Source organism: Homo sapiens, chromosome 7 (genome assembly GCF_000001405.40).
Source record: "Homo sapiens chromosome 7, GRCh38.p14 Primary Assembly".
Taxonomy (NCBI): domain Eukaryota; kingdom Metazoa; phylum Chordata; class Mammalia; order Primates; family Hominidae; genus Homo; species Homo sapiens.
Genome location: NC_000007.14, coordinates 111,805,788 through 111,828,131, shown reverse-complemented (window position 1 = coordinate 111,828,131; position 22,344 = coordinate 111,805,788). Strand labels below are relative to the sequence as shown.

Here is a 22,344-nt window from a genome sequence, read left to right as displayed (position 1 = left end):
CTTCTGTTGTCAGTAATGTTTTATTATACACCCACCTCATACTGGAGGCTACAGTTTTGTCCATATCCTTGGCATTTCATATATATACAGCAGTGAGACTCCTGTGCTTTGTTGATTATAACTTTTCATAGAACTGTGGGGATCTTGCTATAAGCACAAGATTATACATGAGCTGGAAGTTAAGTACAGCACGATTATAACTGCATTGTCTCCTATATACTGTCCCACTAGCTTTCAAAAATTATATCTGATCAAGCCCCAATCCAGCTTTAAAACTCTGAGTACTTCCCATTCCTTGCAGGACGAAGTCCAATCTCCTTATCATGTTGTTTCTATCCTCAATTTACCTTCCAACCACATTATCCTCCACCCCCTTCTAAACACCTTTCAGTCACTCCAGCCACTTCAAACTACTGTTATATTCCTTAAAAACCAAATATATAATTTTTAATTCCTCTGAATCATTTTTTTTCTATCTGTAATGCCTATTCTACCACCACCTCACTTCCATTACCTAATGTGTACCCCTGTTAATCCCTTCTCTGATTCAGCTCACCCTACAAACCCACTCAGGTATCAGCTTCTCGATGAAGCCTTCCCAGGATACAGTCCTCCCTCTCTGATAGCGTGCAATAATGCACTCTCATTATTTGCCATTTCCTTGTGTTTTTGATGACTATGGGCCATTGAGAGTCGAGACCATGTCTTGGTGTCCTAAGCACAGAACCTGGAACATTAAATCTTTGTTGAAAGAATGCATGCTCTTAATATTCCTGCCTGTTTCAAAAGATTTTCAATATAATTATTTTGACTTATCTTTATTTGAATATATTGATTACAGAAAAATGGTTATATAGCTCTAAAAGATGGACGATCATTTGGGAGTTATTTTGCGTAAGATACTTAAAGATTCCATTTTAAGAATATAAGTTTCAATGTGATAATGATTATTAACACCCTTTAATTGAATTCAAACCTCACATCAAGGGTATTATACGTTTGAAATTTATGGCAAATTTTTTTAATGACATTTGAGTATAGTCTGAGGGTCTGTCCTATTCATTGTTCTTGAAGTAAGAAGAAAATGCCCTAGTCTGTGTAGCAGCCTCATGATGCTTTGTTTTATGGATGTCTTAACTCATGTTTCATGAACTCAGGATTCATTTCTCTGTGTCTTGCCAATTCTGTTTCACAAGCCTAATTTTTGTCTTTTGCCTTTCTCTTTTTTAAAAAAATATAGATTTTAAAAAATTTTTAGATTCAGGTGGTACATGTGCAGGTTTGTTAATGAATATATTGCGTGATGCTGAGGTTTGGGCCCCAGTTGAGTCCATCACCCAAATAGTGAATGTAGTACCCAATAGGTAGTTTTTCAGCCCTTTTCTTTCTCCCTCCCTCCCTTCTTTTGTAATCCCCCATGTCTGTTCCCATTTTTATGTCAGTGTGTATCCAATGATTAGCTCTCACTTATAAGTGAGAACGCAGTATTTGGTTTTCTGTTTCCATGTTAATTCACTTAGGATAATGGCCTCTAGCTGCATCTGTGCTGCAGCAAAGGACATGATTTTGTTCTTTTTTTGTGGCTGCATAGTATTCCATGGTGTAAATGTACCACATTTTTTAAGCCTATCCTGTCTTGTGTCTTTCTTAATATCATAGTATCATATGTAAGCACAAAACAATTTTTATATGGTACAGTTAAAAAATCTAAAACACAAATTCGATCCTCTCAAACATCTGCATAATACCCCTCAGTGTCTCCACAATGCCTGCAGGATAAATGTCCAGACTCCTTACTATGGAAAAAGTTATGAAATATGTCTATCTTTTATTTATCCCTATTTATCTTTCAGCCCTATGTCTTGCCACTGCTCCTTGCAGTCCAGGCAACCCTGTGCTCTCTCTTGCTTCTGAGGCCTACAGGTGTTGTTCCCTCTGTGTGGAATACCTGACCTTCAGACTTATTCACATTTTCAAAGCATACATGTATCTGTGTGGTTTTTAGATTAACATTTATCTCTCCCACTAAACTGTGAACTCCACGAAAGCAAAGAGCACATTTAACCTACTTACTATTGTGTGGCATGTTCCAGACACTCCATAAACACCTGCTGCATGAATAAATAAAAGAATGTCTCTTACCAGGTATCCCCAGCATCTAACACAGTGCCTGGCACATAGTAAAGCACCCGATATTTATAAATCAGTACATGTTAGTGATCATTTCTAAAATCATAACAACTGTTCCTACTTTGTTTTATATTTAATTATGGGACTTTTTATTGTTTTGGAAGACTTTCACAAGACCTTTCTTACTTGAACCTCTCTCTTACTTGAACCTCTGCAGAAAAAATACTTCTATAAAATAACACCTCCCTGTTTCTTTTTTATCTTGAACCCTGATTTGAAGAATACCAATAATACAGTTTAACCATGTTAAATAATTTAACCTGCTTAAGTGACCATGTTGTGCTGTATGATGTAAAACAGAAAAAGAAACTGCTCCCATTCTGCCAGGTTTTAAATGGTAGCATATGAAGCACTTATTTCTTTGTGCTGTCCAAGCAGGAATATTATAGGCATGGCAATGTTCTTTTTCAAATTATAAAAAGAATCTGTTACTTAGTTGTATGTGCAAAATAACCACATCTATCTATGCAAAAACACATATTTAGTGAAATGACCAGAGTTGAAAAGTACTCGGAGAGGACAGTCAAGGAAATACCACTGTATTTTGGGTGGGAGGGAGGGAAATGTTAAAGAATCTAGCATTGAGGTCATATTGCTTTCGAGTATTGGAACTGAGTTTGGAATAAACCCTGTTGCATGGCAGTAGACAAAGACTTGCTAAACTAAATTACATGTAAATACTAAAATGGAAGGTATTTGTGTTATGACAACATGATATGATGAAACATTTGCCTACATTTTAGAAGTAAGAAAAATGTGGAGATGCCTTTTGAATAACTAAATGATCATACTGATTTTTTTTAATCTCCTCTAACTACAAGAGACCTCAAAGCCCCCACATTTTACAAGTATGGGAACTCACTCCCAGAGAGGTTAAACAAATTGCCAAGGTCATTGGGCTAGTTAATTGCATAGCCAGGATTTAAAATCTAGGTTTTCTGATCCTCATTATTGTGCTCTTTTATTTTTCTTATAAGGTTTCTACTGTTGAATATGTTTGGTTTTATAAATGTCAATGAAGCTTGAATGGATACTGTAGAAAACTACTTGAGACACTGAAAAGTTTTCTTGGGGGAAATAAAGATTTATGTCAGTTCACAGGCATTGGCAATGTCACATGCTGCCACAGCCTTTTATAGTGGGAGATAAATGTGACTAGGAAAATGAGATAGCACAGAAACAGGTCATCTATCCCCAACTCCTTCACCTGCAATACTGTTTCCTTTGTCCCCAGCACTACAAAAGAAAACTCAAGTTGCTAGCTGGTAAGATAGATGTTTTGCCTCCTATAGCCAATCTTTTCAGCCAGTATTTTTCCTCCTTTCAACTGACAGCACAGTCCCCCACCCCACACACCACATACACACATACATACACACCACCACTACCACTAAGAGTGCTGCCTCCAGTTTCCAGTTCTCTTACAACTTTTGAGGCGAGAAGATAAAACTTCAGCATGTTAGAATTTATTTGTACTGTTCCTAACTAATTGTAGACCATAAAGCCAAAGAATCCCCACTCTCATGACTTTCACATCTATCTAAGCAAATGCACCAAGATAGGAAACTGAAGTGGGGTATAACTCTTTCAAAGATAAATGCACAAGCCATTTTTGCAGGGATTATATATAATATATATACATATATATGTCTGAGTAACTCAAAAGAATCAACTGAGAAACCATTAAAATAAGTTTCAGAAATGCATTAGAAAGGGCTTCTCACAGTTTTAGTAAGCTAATGACCTACTCTCCCAAGAGAGCTAGAATGTGAAGTGTTTCCCAAAATTATGTGACCTACAGTGAAATACATTTGGCAAACTCTGCTTCCAGTGATTCTGGAGACATGGACCGGATCTGTCTAGCCATTTAAAGATGGATGACCTAGTGGGCATGTTTCCACATGGCGCATACTACATATCAACATATGTGTGTTGATGCCAAAGAAGCTAAAATAAGTTCTTGTCAAAATATTTATGGACTTGATTGAAGTTGTTAGCGTATATAAAAAGAAAATAAAGCTACCACATGGTTTTTAGTTTTTAGATTTTTTCTGTCTTCTGTGCACATGAGTGACAACCATAATCTTACATTCAAGCAGCTTACATGTTTAACGTAATGTGTCATTGTATTTGATAAATAAAACTCTTGTGTTTGGGGTTGCTTTTTATTTTTGAAGCAACACCATATCGTTATCTTCAATCAGATTGTTAGAGAAATATATTTTCCTAGAATCACTTAGGTTACCAAAAACTCTTTAAGTTTTCTAGTTAATAAATCTAAATCAAAGCTAGATTGAGCTAATCCCTTTTTGAGTAGGGAAAGCTCATTTCATTCATTGTGTGTGGTACATTATCTCCTTGATTCCACTTTAAGTATTGTATGCTATAGCGCATTTGACCCTATCTCTTGTAATGTTGAAGGAAGCAATATACCGGCCAGGCCTGGTGGCTCATGCCTGGAATCCCAGCACTTTGGGAGGCCGAGGTGGGCGGATCACCTGAGGTCAGGAGTTCAAGACCAGCCTGGTCAACATGGTGAAACCCCGTCTCTACTAAAAATACAAAAAATTAGCTGGACGTGGTGGCAGGCGCCTGTGGTCTCAGCTACTCGGGAGGCTGAGGCAGGAGAATGGCTTGAACCCGGGAGGTGGAGGTTGCAGTGAGCCGAGATCACGCCACTGCACTCTAGCCTGGCGACAGAGCAAGACTCCGTCTAAAAAAAAAAAAAAAAAAAAAAGTAATATTTCCATGTCTGATGATAGCTTCTTGTCAAGAGTGTTTTCAGGTGATCGATTTAAAGATAACATCTCAGTAAATACTACTACCATCTCGCATGGCATCTTTGTGAGGAATATATTGATAATCTCATAACTACTAAGCACTCCTCACTGGGCTGGACTTAGCACATATCCTCATTTGAATGTATTGTGCACAGCACACTCTGGAAAATTCACTCAAATTCTATAAACCTGCATACATTCCATTAATACTGCATCTCAAGAATGCCCTGTAAGAAAAATAGGTTTTTGTATGAGATGCTTTTTGATGAGCATAACTTTCTAAAATTTGACACCCTCTTAAAGGAAAGCAGAGCTGAGCCAGGACTGTTCATTGTTCTCCTGCATTGAAAAGTTCTGATGTTTAAGATGCTATAATAGAAGAAAGGGAATGTATTTCCCTGTTAATCTTCTGTTACAAGTTTTCCACTTTATTTTCAAAACCCTAAATTGTTAGAACCTGTGGAGAGAAATAAAAACTCATTTTCACTGTGCCCAAGAAAGAAAAGAAAACATTTGGGTGGGTTTGAGTCCTGAGAATGGGAAGGGTCATGACTCCTTCCCTTGGGCAAACTGTTAAACTATGGCTCCCTTCTCTATAATTGCTTTGGAAATGGTAACAGTACAACAGTACTGCCTGTGTATGTGCGTATGTATGTTGACAGTTACAATAAACCAATAAAATGATCTATTTTCTCCTTATCCAAGGATTTCCTGCTGCAGATATTTACTGTGTTCCGAATATTGATACGCCCGGAGATGTTTCCAAAGGACTGGACTGTTATGCGCTTGGTTGCTAACAAGTAAGACATTTAAGTTGATGATAATTGCAGCTCAATGTATAGAGGAAGAAGGGAGTACAAAATTATCTTTTTCATTTGATCTCAAGTTTGCAGTTTTTTTTTTGCCTCTGAATTAAGCCTTTAAAAAAATGTTACCACTTGTTTAGAATTACTATTTCCTTTGTATATATTAACATCATTCAGAAATCGAACAACATAATAGCATATGCATTGAGAAGTTCTGTTCCCATTGACCCTCTTCCCCTAGGCTGTATAACCACTTGTATTTGTTTCTTACATGTCCTCCTAGTGTTCCTTTATACAGAGACCAGCAGGTAATGTAATATACACACTGTTCTGTATAATGCTCTTAAGAAATCCTGGCAATCTTTCCAAATTAATAGATAGAAAGCCTTTCATTCTTCTGTGTATTTTCCTTTACAGCTGAATAATATTGCATTGAATGACCATACCATAGTTTATTTAACCAATTCTCTGTTACTAGAAATTTGAATCATTTCTGATCTTTCTTAATTCTTCTCAACAAAATACATACATGAAGCATCTGCTCAACACTGGGAATAAGACATGACCTTTGAGTTGGACACATGGAGATTGACGTTCTTTTTATTCATCCAAGTGGTATGGCCAATAGAGAGCTGAAAATACTGCCCCGAGGAAACTTCAGAACAAAATACAGGCATTTGGGAGGTTATTGACATAAAGTCGATATTGGAATCTCTAGAAGATGATAAATTCAGTTTATATTAAGCATATCCAGCATGATCTGAGAGCAATACTAGAAGAGAGAGGAGGCAGGAAAGGATATTAGGGCAGTCGGAATGGCAGGAGCTGATCCCGGAGAGTACAGTGTCATGGATTTATCTGCTCTCTCCACTTCCTGTCTCCATAGTCTCAAGATACAGAATGGAAAAGTGTTCTAGGAAACTGGCCTGGTCTTCACTTCCAAGCTTGTTATTTACCCTATTTCATTAGCATTGTCACTCTCCAAGCCCACATTTGCCTGCTTCCCCTTCTTCCTCTTTTCCAAACGCCAACACCCTCATGCTCAGGATGAAGGTTGGATTCTCTAAGCATCTATCTGTAGGCCACGGTCGCCCTGTGTTTTCTCCAGATGGCAAGCTTTGATGGTGGTGAGAGCTGCAGGAATATAGGATTCGATTTTGATTATATATGCTCAATATGGCTTCTGCTGCAGTATACATTTATAGACTTGGAGGTGTTAAAATGATGTGTTAAAAACTTTGTGAAGTAACAAATAGTATAACATAGCATATTATATTTTACATAAGTACAGAAGCAGCTTTTCCATTTTGAAGATTGAGAGTGTTGAAATAGCTCTCTTTAGAATTTAACATATTTAGTTTGATATCTGTGAGTAGAATCAAATATCTATTCATTTGGTTGTCCGCATGCTACAGATTTAGGTGGGAGTTTTTGCTCATTCATCTGGCCTTATAACCAAAGAGCAAACATTCTGGGTACCTAGGAAGGGCTGTGAGGTAATCCAAGGAGCCAGATGGGAAGAGGTCCAGGCTATGGACATCATCATCACGCAGCATCAACATTTGGTCATTCTGCCTGACTCATGTGCAGAGGAATATTTTGGATTGAATTAAAATTTCAGTGGTAGAAATTCAAACTGAAAGTAACATTGACATTTTATTCCTTACATATACAATTTCTGCTTAAGCTTGCCTAAAATTGTAACAACCATGTGGCTTTTTGATATTAAATACTGCCTCTCTCTGCCCCATCGTTACTTCAGTTTTAAAGACTTTATGGTCACACAAATGGATAGCAGTCTGAGAGTATAGATTCTACCTTTGCGTAAACACACACTGTTCAGAATTTTCATTTACAGTGTTAACCAAATAGGAAGATGATTTTGTTAGAGATGAGCTCTGTGTAATACATTTAAACAGAAGGTTACTCCCATAGCAAACCCAAGAAATGTGCCATCACCCTTTGCTAAATGTGGTGACTTCATTCCATTGCCACCCATGTGAGTGCTGGTAGGAGTCTGGCGCTGCCTCTCCACTGGCAATGGCTGGTGGCTGCAAGTCCAACCTCATTCATGGACAGGACTCCAGGAACTAGAGAGACCACTGCCAAGTTGGAGCAGCCAGTCTGCTGTATGTTCTTGCTCTTGCCTCTTCTTTCCTCTCCTCTCCTCTTTTAATAGTCTCTAACCATTCTCCTCCATTCAAGTCATGAAAGCAGATGAGGTTTGCTTTGCTTCATAAATGCAGCATAGTCTGAAAATTAGCCCTCTACTATTTGTGCTTTATCTATGAAAAATATTAACCCATATAATATTGGTAGAAAAGTAGATTTCTGAAAGATGTTAAGGACATCTTAAATACGTTAAAGAGCATACACTAGGAAGAAAAAGTTTCCGCTTGGCTAAACCATGTTGAAGCACGTTGCAGGAGTTACATCTATGTCTCTGAAGTTGACCACCTTTTCTTCCATAGTTTCAACTTTCTTAGACAAACATTTTTTCAGGGCCTCTCAAAGGGCATTTTAACCCAAACTCCCACTTTTATTAACCCAGTCGTGTGCTTAATACATGTCAAATTGATAGCAGGTGGCTGAGAAGTCACCATTGCTCTACCCTTGAACTCAATTGAATTGCTCATCCCTCAAAATGAATGTTCTTTTATGTGTTGGTCCTTTCTTCCTCTGTTTTCAAGTAAATTAAATGCCTTTAACTTTCATCTATAAGCTGTGTTGTTCCAAATCTTGTAGCTTGCCTGCTTGGTGTGAAGCTCTGCCAGAGTTTGTGACCAGACACCTGGTGATTTGTATGGTTCCTTGTTTTTTTCTACTGCATGCCTAATATTGTATAACATAGCAAGTGTGCCCACTTATAATTCTGCCAGGGCAAGAAGCATTTCTTCTCTTTCTTGTTTGCTGTAGAGCTATCTCATGACCCCCTGTAAGTTCCTGGTAGATGTTTCTGATGACAACAACTGCTCAATCTAAGAAAGAAGGAACATAAGGAAGATGAAAATTAAGTACCAAAAATACAGGACACTTTGAGACAAGCTTCTCTCCACCCCCTTCCCATACACATTGTGAAATAAAGTACAAAAATAAAGTCACAGCTTTATACATATTTTCAAGAAGAAAAACCTTATAACACACTTGCTTACTGAGGAAGGTAAAAACTCCTTCTCTCTTCAGTTGAAATTTCAGGTCTTTATTTTGGTTATCTTGTGTGCATGTTGGCCTCAAACATATCATGCACTAACCAACTTGGGTTTCAAATGAGATCTATGTAGCCAAAAAGCGATTTGTTAAATCAAAGTTTCTTAGAGAGGTTGTCCATTCATTTACTGACCCACTTATTCAGCCAGTATTTTCCAGTGCCTGATGTGTAAAATAAGTACTATAAAGACAAAGAGCACCGTGATATGAGGGTGTTATGAAGTGAACATTGTTCTGGACTAGAATAGGAGGGGTCTTTCATGAAGGAGTGAAGCTTGAACTGAAAGCTTAGCAGGGGGTAACAAACAGCAAAGGAATAATGATTCTATCAGTAGGTAGCATCTACAAAGGCCCTGTGGCCAGAGTAAATGTGGCACACTCAAGGAACTGAAAGACTGTTAGTGTGGCTGAAATGTGGGGAGGGAAGGAACCAGTAAAGATGAGGTTGGTGGAGGAAGACAGAACCCAGATATTGATATGTGGAGAGACCAAAGAGAAACCAGGGAGAACCAGTTAGGAGCTTACTGCAGCCATCCAGGTAAGAGATGTTGATGATGACTTGGACGGGCGGATAGCAATGAAGGTAGTGAGAAGATTGGTTTTGGAAATAAGGATGATAAGACTTGCAAGTGACTGGGTGTGGGTGGGAGAGAAGAAAAGTAACGGAAGGTGTTCCTTAGATGCTTGGCCTAAGTAAAAGGATGAATTGTGCCATTCACCTAGTTGGAAAAAATGGAAAGAGGAGTAGCATTGGGGATGAGAGAAGTGAAGAATTCCATGTTGAACATAAGTTTGAGGTGTACTAGATATTCAAGTGGAGATGTAGAAGGGAAAGCTAGACATGCTTGCATGGAGCTCAGGGATGATGTTGGGGCTGGACATGTGCGTTTGGGCTCCTCAGCATATGGTTAGGATTTGAAACCTTGGAACTGAACAAGAGCACTGAGGAAGAAAGTGCAGACTGAAAAGAGAAAAAGACAGGACTGAGCCCTAGGGCATGCCACATTTTAAAGGTCAGGAAGTGGAGAGGTATCCAGTGAAGAAGACTGAAAAAGAGCAGCCTATGATGTAAGATGAGAACCAGCAGAGTACAGTATCCTGTGAAGAAAGCATTTCAAGAAGGAAGCAGTATCTAGAGCTGCTGGGAGGTTGGTGGTGATGTGGACAGACAATTGGTCCCAGGATTTGGCAGTGTGGTAGATATTGGTGACCATGACAAGTGTTGTTTCAGTGGAGTGGTGAAAAGGAAAACCTAATTAGAGTGAATAGGAGTTGAGAAACTGAAAATAGTAATTACAGGAAGAGTTTTGCTGTCAAAGGGAGCATAGAAACAGGGCTGTATCTGGAAGGAGATGTGAGGACTGGGATTCCTTTTAGAATATGGGATATTACAGCATGTTGATTTACTAATAGGCATGGCCCTGTTAGTAAAAGACAGAAATATTGGTGCTAAAGAAAACAGGGATAATTAAAAGAGCAATGTCCTTGGGCAAGCAGGGATAGGATTGCATGCAAGGTTGCTAGGTATGCCAGCCCAAGAACTAACTGCTACCTGTCCATGACAAGCTTTCACTTAAAAATAAATCTTCAGTGTAAGCATGCAGTTTAATTAAACTGACATTGTTTTTTGTGGTAAGACTTTCTCAAGGAGGGAAGCTTCCCGCACTTAGAGCAGCATTGATCTAGTGCACACAAAGAAAGGTAGGAGCGTCGACAGTTTATCCATAATAACAGGAAGGAAGGTGGAATATGCGCCACTGACCCTGAAAACTTGAGTGGTAGAGTAGCTAATCTGCTGAGCATCCATTGACACAGCTACTGTTGTTTTGATTGTGATTTTTTTAATTAAGTGTAGTTATCCTTAAAGGCTTTTACTGTTCAGGGAGATAATAGATACTTATTTTTTATCAAAACTATATATTACTATGCTGAATGTGCCAAACTTGAATAGTTACAGCAAATAATGACAAAAGAATTGCTTGCACAATCCATCTCCTCCAGGTGAGTTGTGAGGTGTTGGTAGAGAGAATGAATGCATGAAGGAAAGGCTTTCTTAGGGTTTAAGCCTAAGAGGTCAAAACAGAGGCTATTGCCATATGAGTGATTTTCCACCAGTACTGCCCAGTGGAGTACTGGTCAAAAGAGTTTTCAGAGTCACTCTGTGTAAATCCTTTCCCATTCTTTTTGCTTCATCCACACTGCGTGCCCCATTGACTGAAAGCAAAATCACTCCTTTCTCTGCTTCCCTGCTTTAGCTGATTCTGTGCCCTCCACTTGGATCAGCTTTGCCTGTCTAATTTCAGTCTGTTCAAAATAGCTAAAAATAAATAAATAAATGAAATTAAAAGTTGTATAAGCTTCACATTTTAGAGTCATCTAATATGGCAAACAAGTATAACAAAGCATAGACTCAAATGTACTCATGAGGCCACAGTCATTTAACATACACTTACTAGTCTCTGCCCCTGTGGATGCAGTGGTAAAAAAGGCCAGATTCCCAGATGCCATTGTTCTCTAAGTTCCAGCCCTTCCTTGTCTTCTCTTCCATGTGTAACACCAGTCCTCAAAATAAGAAGGATGACCACATGCATCAGAATCACCTGGTTGGGCCTGGTTGCAAACCTCCCAAGCCATAGGTAGTGGTAAGACCCTGAAGTCTTAAGCATCCTTTGGGTGATTCTCATGCATGCTGAAGTTTGAGAACCACTCGTTTAGATGCATTCCCACATTGGTTATCCACGAATTTCATCTCCCCAAAATGTCTTTGCGTTGATTTTTTGCTGCCCCAATTAATCCACCAGGTTGTAGGGAAATTGCTGGACTCTAGGTTTAGATGTCCTTAGTTTTTCATTGTATAAACATCAATATTGTCAAGACCCAGTTTATCCACAAAGGTATTTCTCTCAGTCCATATATGATTTTTGGAGACGGGCTTGTGTATGAGCAGATTATCAAATTGGAGTAATTAAAAAAAATTATGGGAGATAAGCTTTCCTGGATGAGAGTGAGAGGGAGAAATAGGGTTGCTTGAAGTTATTTCTTAAGCCCAAAATGAGGTGGCAACTGGAAAACCATAAAGCAATAACTTTGATTTCATGTACACCAGTTTTTCTTTTATACATAAATTTTATCATGCTGTGCCTGTAGATTATGATTGTCAAAAATGATCCTACTGCATGCCTTGCTGTGGCAGTAATCAGTAATTTGGGCCACACACAGTGGGGCCGAGGCGGGCAGATCACTTAAGGTCAGGAGTTCGAGACCAGCCTGGCCAACATGGCAAAACCCCATTTTAACTAAAAATACAAAAATTAGCTGGCGCAGTGGCGGGCACCTGTAATCCCAGCTACTTGGGAGGCTGAGACAAGAGAATTGCTTGAATGTGGGAGGCAGAGGTTGCAGTGAGCAGAGATCACACCACTGCACTCCAGCCTGGGTGACAGGGAGACTCCGTCAGAAAGAAAGAAAGAGAACAGAGAGAGAGAAAAAGGAGGGGAGGGGAGGGGAGGGGATGGGGGAGGGGAAGGAAGGAAGGAAATAAATAAATGAATAAATAAATCAGTAATTTGGCTGTTTGTGGTAGCATATTGAAAATCTTTTTTGACTATTGAGTTGGAGCACTGAGATTTGCAATATCCCCATATTCAAACACTGATTCATGAGTAAAAGAATGAAACCAGAGAATCCACATGGTTTTGGATAAATTGAAACAAGTAAAGAAAGGTCCCTAAACACCACAGGTATCCACTAAAATGAAGGAGCAATAATGTATAAATGTCTCTGGCTAGCTTAGAGACCTGTGTGTTAGGAAATGATGTCAGTGATGAGTTACCATAGAAAGCTCTGGGAACTGCCTTGATGGCTTGGGCTGAATGTTATAGGTATGAAAGAAAAGCATTTGAATAGTCCTTTTAAGATCTTTCTAGCCCTGAGCAGTCATATTTTTGGAGGCCCTACTCCTCATCCTATCAAGCACTAAATAGACCCACATGCCACATTAGATACAATTTTGCTAAAGAAAAAAATTAAAAGTATTTTTTATATTTGCTTCTTAATTATTGGCTTATCAAGTAAAATAATTTAATTTTGATTGGCTGTGATTTCTCAGCGTTTATGTATACTATAGGAACTGTAAAAGTTTAAAATAATCTATAATTTTAAAATTGCATAAATATTAAAATTGGACAGTTAATGAAAGTCATCGTGTCACTTTCTGTGGACATGTGATTAGTCATTATTTTTACTTTTTATTTTGCAAATTTCAGTTTGGTTGCATAACATTCTTTCAGGTCTCAATGTTTTCGAAAGTCCCTGAAAGGCTCACAGGCCCAATGCCCTGTGCCTCTTTCTGCCTAATGGTAAGGCAGCCCTGATAAGAGGGTGAGGTGTTCAATCTAGAAATAAGAACTGCAAGCCCCATACAAATCGTCCTAATATTCCAGAAGTCAGGAGAATGCTGAAACAGAATTTGTGGGAATATTTCTGATTCTGGCCACTCCGGAGCCTTGCTCTTCATTGGGTGGTTGCAAACCAACAGCATTAGCATCCGCTGGAGCTTGTTAGAAGTGCAGAATCTCCAGTCCCACTCCAGGGTTGCTGGATCATCTGCACTTTAACTAGATCACCAGGTACCTGTTAAAGTTTGAGAAGCACTGATCTAAGGTAGAGCAGTGGTTCTCAGCTCCGGGTACACCATAAGAATCACTTGGGAGCTTTGACAATCCTGATGTTCTGACTGTAGCCCAGACCAATCAGTAGTCTCTGGCGATGTGACCCAGCATTGTATTTTAAAAGCTCCCAGGTGATTCTAGGGCCCGGGGCAGGTTGAGAGCAACTGTTCCATAGTAAGGCCACAGAGATTCCATGTTGTTTACCAGCAAGTGTACTTCAAAAAGCCACAAATATATTTTGTGTGTTTGGGATCCACCATGTAAATAACAATTTGGTAATCTTTGCCATGGAATAACTTCTCTCTCCCTTGGAAGATTGAGTTTGTTAGCTCCTTTCTGTGACATTTGGCGTGATAGTCTAAATTCCAGATATGTCATATTTCACTAACACCAGAGGTATTGTGTCTGAACGTCAATCTAAGCTGAAACTGTGGACCACAAGGTGATTTTTAATGTAAACCCCAGGTGTAGTGGGACTGTGTGTATTTCTCGTTGAACATCAAAGCAGAAAGTTTGTGCTTATAACCACATGTTAAGCATACAGATTTTTCTTCTTTAAACTTAGAAGTCCAGTGATCTTACTGGATGCTAGGCAAGAACAACTTCCTTGCCTGATAGCCTTTCATTTTCTGATGATTCAGCTTCAGTTTCATATAGTAAAACTTGAGTAAAATACTTTGGAACAGTAATGATGTCTTCAGTTATCATTGATTTTTCCAGTGTCTTTGGGAAATTGCCGCATTATACCATCATTTGCAGGTGATGTATCTCTTTGATATGACTTGCACTGATGATATCTGCCATTTAGGGGACTGAAGAAACCACAAGACTTCTCGATCTCATAGGTTTTTATTATACTTAAATTTAATAATAAGATTCACTGAAAGGTACATATGACATATGTAAAATGCACACGCATGTAACAGTGCCTGTTCATGGTAGAGCGAATGCCCATGAAATCGTGGTTGTCTTGTTTCCTTTTCATTACCTTGAACTTCCACATTCAACCATCAACTTACCCTTGTTAATTACCCTTGTTAATATTTCCCTACCCCACAAGAAAGCTATAATAGTGAGTTTCCCAGCAGATAACAATAATGAATATTTATGTCTTTCAAAGTCTATATTTTTCTAACTAGTAAATATAATCTATATTAGCAAGATAACCAAAGTTTGAAGTTGATACTGTATTTTGTTTTCTTTTGTTTTTTCATTTTACCTAGGGTGACATAAATACATCCTCCAATTGCAAATCCCATGAAGAGAACTGAGGCTTTACCATATCACACACTCATTACACATGCATCTCAGAAAAGGTCAAAGAAATTTTAAATATCGACAATTTATATATTGATCCTCAGTTTATAGTAGCTCAAGGGGTGGCTAATCTTGCTTTAGTATAATGCTGTGTTAAACATTAAGTGAACCAATTGGAAATATGTTCAACTTTAAATATTTATCTCCTGGTTATAAAAATTAGCAGATTTTGAACAAATTGCAGAGCTCTAGAACTAACCAAGAATGCTCATCAAATCCTTCTTTTTAAAATCTCCCCAGCGAGCTACCTATGGCTGTATTGGTCAGGCTTTTCCTGATTTCTCCTGCCCTGGAGATGACCCTTTCTCTGAATGTCTGTAACACTGTCGGTTTCACACAGCTTCGTACTGGGTTATAGACAATTTCACAGTCTGTAATTGTTTCTTTAGTGGCAGTCTTGTCACCCTTAAAGAGGGAATCTGCCTTCTATAGCTCTTGCATGCCCTCTAATACCTTAAACAGGGGAGAACAGAGAGAAGTCTAATAAATACTCAATGTATTCTATTATTTTTTCCTATCTATTTTGTCTTTGGGCTCCATTTTTTCCTCTGCATTTTAAAAAGCATGGCTTTCTTTTATGATAATCAAATATGGAATGTTGCCTGTAATCCTAGCACTTGGGGAGGCCCAGACAGGAGGATAGCTTGAGGTCAGGATTTCAAGACCAGCGTGGTCAACAGAGTGAGAACCTGTCTCAGAAAAACTGAAAAACCATTTGGCTGGACACAGCAGCATGCACCTGTAGACCCAGCTACTTGGAAGGCTGAGGCAGGAGGATCACTTGAGCCCAGGAGTTTGAGGCTGCAGTGAGCTATGATCATGCCACTGCACTCCAGCCTGGACAACAGAGCAAGACCCTGTCTCAAAAACAGAAAAATATGAAATGTTATGTTTGTAGTAAATCATTTTGCTTTGTTTGGAAATTAACAAAAAACATTACAAAACATCAAGGTGATAATATATTTCTGTCTGAGCCATATGAATTCATAGATCTTTCGTGTATCAGTTTACAAAGGTCCTGACTTCAGTGATAGATTTCTTCCCCTTTTATTGACCTGTTGTCTCTTTTTTGTTTCAAATATGAATTATTTAATATTGCTCCAGATGCTTACTGAAGAAGGTTTTATTTTATCTTAGTAGGTTTTTATTCTTGTATACTAAATGATTTTCACTAATATGAAGTTTTCACCTTGTCATTTTTTTTATCACTAGTGTTATTATTACAACAGTTCTATACCTCTCAGATGCACTTCGTAAGAACTTCTTAAATGAAAACTTTGATTATAAGGTAAGCATTCATTTATATGACTCTCCTGCTTGGGCTAAAAGAATCACATTGTATTATAGGAAATTACCTAACATTTTCTTGGGCCGTATTAGTTTTAACTATGAGGAATATTAGAACAGTTTTCATTATATTTGTGAACAGATGAAGACTGTTCACATAGCGCTTAAAAGGAGATCATAGCGCTTAAAAGGAGATAGTTTTTTATTGTTACTATACATTTTAATTCTTGCTCTTTTCTGTATGATCCCTGTTTATGACAAAGGAGACTCAAAACATAGTGTTTTTTACTTTTTAGAAATGGAGTTTATATGAAGAAAACGTTTACAAAGTAAACCCTTTAGTTTCTTATTTCTTTGTCTTCCCATTTTTTAGAATGAATTAATGAAAAGAAAAAAATGAAACATTGGTAAGGTTCTTTAAGGCAGAACCCTCTGTATATCTATGATATAATGTGATATGCCTGGGTGCCTACAAATTCTTGATATACTATTTTTCAAATAGCAAGTGATAAATAGCAAACAAAGATGAGCAGTGCCTATCTTGGCTTTCTTCCTCAATGGTGGTTCTTTGTTTTGGGCATCTTTCTTCTTACTCTGTTTTGAATAACATATTTCATATTAAACACTTTTATAAAATTTCCTTATTGGATAATAAGAAAATACAAAAAAGGACAAATACAATAAAAAAGGAATTTTAATAGTTACATAATATTTGTCTATGTCATAGCTTATAGTATATCAAAATTTCATATTTCATTCTTATAAATTACTCATTTTATGTACATTCTTGTAAAATAAAACTTGGCATATATCCCTAATTATTTCTTTGGTTCTTTTTTTGTTTCTGGTTTTGTTTTGTTTTGTTTTGTTTTTGAGACAGAGTCCTGCTCTGTTGCCCAGGCTGGAATGCAGTGACGCAGTCTCGGCTCACTGCCACCTCCGCCTCCCAGGTTCAAGCGATTCTCTTGCCTCAGCCTCTAGAATAGCTGGGATTACAGGCACACACCACCATGCCTGGCTAATTTTTTTTTTATTTTTAGTAGTAGTATGGGGTTTTGCCATGTTCGCCAGGCTGGCCTTGAACTCCTGACCTCAGGTAATCTGCCTGCCTCAGCCTCCCAAAGTGTTGGGATTACAGGCATGAGTCACCGCGCCTGGCCCTTAATTATTTCTTTGGATAAATATTTATTAGTGGAATTGTTGAGTGAAAGGTTGTACCAATTACATTTGATTGCTTCTTTTCCTGCAGCTACACCAACATTAGAAGAGATTTTTTTTCTGACAGATAAAGAGAAAAATCCTGTTTGCTTTAATTTACATTTCTCACTAATTATTACTTATTGACTAGTTACTAGTTATTGATCAAAATTCATATTTTTGTGAATTGTCTATTCTTGACTTTTTTTTTTCTTTTTTTTGTTTTGAGACAGAATCTCCCTCTGTCGCCCAGTCTGGAGTGCAGTGGCGCAATCTCGGCTCACTGCAACCTCTGCCCCCCAGGTTGAAGCAATTCTTCTGCCTCAGCCTACTGAGTAGCTGGGACCACAGGAGCGCACCACCACACCTGGCTAATTTTTGTATTCTTAGGATAGACGGGGTTTCACCATATTGGCCAGGCTGGTCTCGAACTCCTGACCTTGTGATCCACCCGCCTCGGCCTCCCAAAGTGCTGGGATTACAGGCATGAGCCACCGCACCTGGACTGTTCTTGACTTTTATTCATTATTTTACTTAGGGTTTTATTATATTCTTTTTTATTTGTAAGAGCTATTTACGTATAACAGATACTGATTCTGTGTCATATGTCTCCTGGTTTGTTATGTCTTTAATTTTACATGGTGTCAGTGGAGAAGTGTGTTCCTTCCATTATGTCCTTTTTTTTTTTTGCTAAGTTTATTTCAGGGAACTTTATTCAGATCTCTTTCTGATTCTGTTTTTTGGTATAAGAAAACTTAAAAGATTTGCCTGGGCAGGGAATTTTTATATAATGTCTGAATTTAAAGCAATTAGCATATCTGAAGAAGTGTATGCATTTTTTACAAGTTCTACGTTAAAAGGAGTTCCAAAAATGAACTCACACAGGAATAAAGAAATCCATCTTATACCTCATCCTCTTGGAGATACTCAGACATATTACAAGAGAAACCACGCATCTGTCTTTTAGCATATACCAAAAAGCTCGTGAAACCTGGAATACAGCTTTGGAGCAATATACACCTAGATAATAATAGTACTTATTTATTTAGTTACTTCTTCACTTTAGAAAATTTTAAGCATATGTACAAGTAGAGAGAATAGTATAATGAACCCCCATGAGGTACCCATATCCAGCTTCAACTATTATCAACTCATGGTCAGTCTTACTTCAACTATACCCTCAACCACTTTTGAAGCAAATCCAAAATACTATGTCACTTCACCTGTCAATATGCTTGTAACACCATAGTATTGATATATCTTGTTCTTGTTTTAGATCTGGGATTCCTACTTTTACCTCGCAGTCATTTTTATAAACCAGTTGTGTCTGCAGTTGGAGATGTTCACACCTTCCAAGAAGAAAAAGGTGTTAGAAAAGTAAGTATCAGTGTATAATCAGGTGAGAAATGTTGCCTCTTAAAGAGTATTTAGTTCAAATGATTCATAAATCAGAATGCGCATAACTGGAAATCACACAGTGAAGAACCAGTGACCAAGGGGTCAAGAAGCAGTCTTTTCTGGATGTTTTGATATTTCAAACATGTTTGCACATTGTTTTGACCTGGCTCTTTCAGGATTCAAAATTTCTATAGATGCAAAAAATTATGAAACAGATCTCTTTTACTAAAAGGTTTACACCAGAATTTGACTTAGAGGCATCGTGACATGTATATTAAATGTCTTTAATTAAAAACTCCTTGCCTTGTAATTCAGAATGATAGATTGTATCCTAAAGACACACAAATACTTCCTTGTTCTGGAGGCATTGTATCAGGTTTGGTTTTTTGTTCTATTTCAGGTATGGTGACATGCGGGTAACAATGGGTTGTGAAATTTTCAGCATGTGGCAAAACCTAGGTAAGTGAGGAAAAGAGAAGCCACATCTACTATACAGCTCCTCGCTGTACCTTGAAGTGTACAAATGAAGAAAGGCAATTTACCAGTGACACCATGTGAAACCAAATGTCTAAATCAATAAACATCTATAGAAAGTAATTGACACTTTGGCATTGAATGAGGTTACAACAAATTCTTTAAATTGGTCTCTAAGAAAAGTCACCTTACCTTTGTGTGTTTCATTATTAATTAACGATAAATTTTATAATCTAGCATTGCTCCAACATTACACATATTTCCAGCGATGAGGCAACCTTTCAGAATTTGGAACTGTAACAACTCAAAATTTCTAGAACTCTGAGTTGAAGCTATGAATCATAATAAATTTAGGTTAAACTTCATGAAACATTGACTTGAACGTCACTACTCTTAAAAACTTGAGACCATTGTCCTATATCATAAAGAGTATAGCCAAAGGATTTTAAAAGCATCTGCAGTTGCTAAGAAACTGTTGGATCCAATTTTGTTAATCTGCTATAGCAGATAGAGTATATTATTCCAGAAAATTGATGGTACAGATCTGGTTGCATAGAAAACAGTAATATTTGGAAAACAAATTGTTTTAAAATTCATTGGCATAGGGTCCCTTTCTAGAGATTTATAAGTTATTTCATTTGGTATGTTAACTATGCAGGTTTTTAGTATTCATTTACTATTACTGCATCTTAATGCTCCTCTTTGATTTATTAAAATGATTGACCTATTTGAGTTGAATACGTAATGACCTGAAAATATCTTTTCTCTTGGGCTTATCCAAGTACAACTTGGAGATTGGAAGGATTTATTTTCTGTGAATGAAAATAGAACCATTATTGTTTTACTTCCACTCATGTTAACAGACTGATTTTTGACCAGGATCATTACAGGGTGATTTTTTTTTAATAGGGTATGTATATTCCTCAAATATACATAACAACTTGAGGGAGCCTTGGTATATATAATTAAGCCCAGTGTTCAATGCTTGCTGGTGATTTCAGAAAAAATAAAAAATAAAAAAAAATAATGAAGCTGGGAGCAATGGCTCATGCCTGTAATCCCAGCACTTTGGGAGCCTGGAGCGGGCAGATCACTTGAGGTCAGGAGTTTGAGACTAGCCTGGCCAACATGGTGAAACCCTGTCTTTACTAAAAATACAAAAATTAGCCAGGCGTGGTGGGGGGGTGCCTGTAATCTCAGCTACTTGGGAGGCTGAGGCAGGAGAATCACTTGAACCTGGGAGGTGGAGGTTGCAGTGAACCAAGATCGCTCCATTGCACTCCATCAGCCTGGGTGACAGAGTGAGACTCTGACTCAAAAAAAAAAAAAAAAGAGTTATCATCTTGAAAACAACCTTCAACTATGTAAGGCCAGCCAGAAGATATCATGGTCTGTCTTTAGTTGCAGCTCAAAAATAGTTTTCTTATTTGGAGACTGCTCTTCTTAGTCTTCAGTGTTTTCAGGTTTCATTGATTCTTTGTGTCCTTGTTTTTCCTAAAGAAGATCAAGGCCCTTGTAGTGTCCATATTGCATTCGACATTAATTTAGCAAGATGTTTTTGAAAGAATGCTGCATTGAATCTGTTTGAATGCACTTGTGGTTGTGTAAGCTCTTTTCTGGGCTCAAATTATGAGAGCAGGACAGATTCTGTTCGGTTACAAGAATGTTAAAAAAGAATGACCAGTTTCTGTTCTAGATACATCTCAGCATTGCCATCTATGGTTATTTCCACATAAACCTGTATCCAAACCATAATAGCTATGCATTTAGGCCCATGACCCTTGGGCTGCTAAATAAAGCTGTCACATGTAATCTCCCTAAACATGTCACTGTATACTTCATAAACTTTTATCCTGTATTTTGTCTTTCTTCTAAAATGAAACTATTTCTGCCTCTCTGGTTTTTATGTTAAATTGCTTCTCTGTTTTTCTCAGAGATCTAGAGAATATGGAAAATTTCTGGAGCATATCAATACCTATAATGCAGTATTTTGTTATACTGTAGCATCAGCATCCTTGGAAGCTTGTAAGAAATGCAAAATCTCTCACTCCACCTTAGACCTACTGAAACACAATCTCTGGGATTGGGGCACAGCAGTCTGTTTTAGCAAGTTTTCCAGGTGATTCTTATGTACTTAGCTAAAAACTGAAAAGCACTGCTTTAGTTTATCCTCTTTCTTTGTTGTTACAGCCATAAAGACTTAGCTCTAGCACAATCCTAAGACGCTGTTAGAAAAGGCTCCTCCTTTATACTCAACTTACAGATTCCCAGCATGACGTGGTTCAAGCGTAGGGTCAGCGTAAATTTTTACTTCATTCCTTGGTTGCTGCATTATTTCCCAAGAGTTGTGTCTAGACTTTGCAAAGACTTCCCAAATATTAGGTGAATTTTAAAGTTTGTTGCTGTTGTGCAATAGCTAGAATTGGAAAAAATTCAGAAATGTTAAAGCCTCTCTTCCAACATATATTTTTATAAAATGAGGAGAAGAATAATTAAGTATTCAGAGTGACATTTTGATACCCCTTATAGGCCTTAAGTCAGCTTGTTACTTAGGAATATCAAAGTACATTAGTTATCATTTGGTTTACTTATAAATATGTCATGTTGAGAATTTGAATGCTGTAAGAGAATTTATTCAGGTAATTATAAATTTGCCATGTTTTAATGTAACAGTCCAGTAAATTCAATTTGACTAAGTTTATGAAGCACTGGATATATGCAAGTATTTTGGAGGACATAAGAAAAAATGGTCCACACCTATTAAAATCTTAGTTTTCAAATCTTATATTTTAAAATTTTGTCCAATTTAGTTTGAACTATGACAAAGCTTGACAAAGACAACATCATCATGTTTTAGTAAAGCTAGTAAGCTTTTATGATTTCATAAATCAAGATCCTCAATATTTTTAATAGATACAAAATGCACTAACTTTTAGAAAATAAGATGAAGGGAGGAAATGCCCAAGGCCACTTAATATACTTTTTTCCACTTGAAACTGTCTAGTTGGTCTAATTTAG

The 22,344-nt window shown here is 37.6% G+C and overlaps 1 protein-coding gene and 1 long non-coding RNA gene across 15 annotated transcripts in view; one reads left to right on the top strand and one right to left on the bottom strand.

Annotated features, from left to right (window-relative positions):
* The window catches only part of DOCK4 (dedicator of cytokinesis 4), a 480,290-nt gene that overhangs the window by 378,268 nt on the left and 79,678 nt on the right, over positions 1-22,344 (top strand). For all 14 annotated transcript variants that reach the window (XM_047421081.1, NM_014705.4, XM_006716189.3 and 11 more), the window contains exons 27-30: positions 5,676-5,770; positions 16,183-16,258; positions 18,731-18,831; positions 19,253-19,311. In XM_047421081.1, the coding sequence (XP_047277037.1) occupies positions 5,676-5,770; positions 16,183-16,258; positions 18,731-18,831; positions 19,253-19,311 (331 nt within the window). The remainder of the gene's footprint in view (positions 1-5,675; positions 5,771-16,182; positions 16,259-18,730; positions 18,832-19,252; positions 19,312-22,344) is intronic.
* DOCK4-AS1 (DOCK4 antisense RNA 1) lies at positions 6,353-19,627 on the bottom strand. Its single transcript, NR_103806.1, has 2 exons — positions 19,519-19,627; positions 6,353-8,754 (listed from the first exon to the last, which is right to left on the bottom strand). It is a non-coding gene; the product is annotated as a DOCK4 antisense RNA 1 (long non-coding RNA).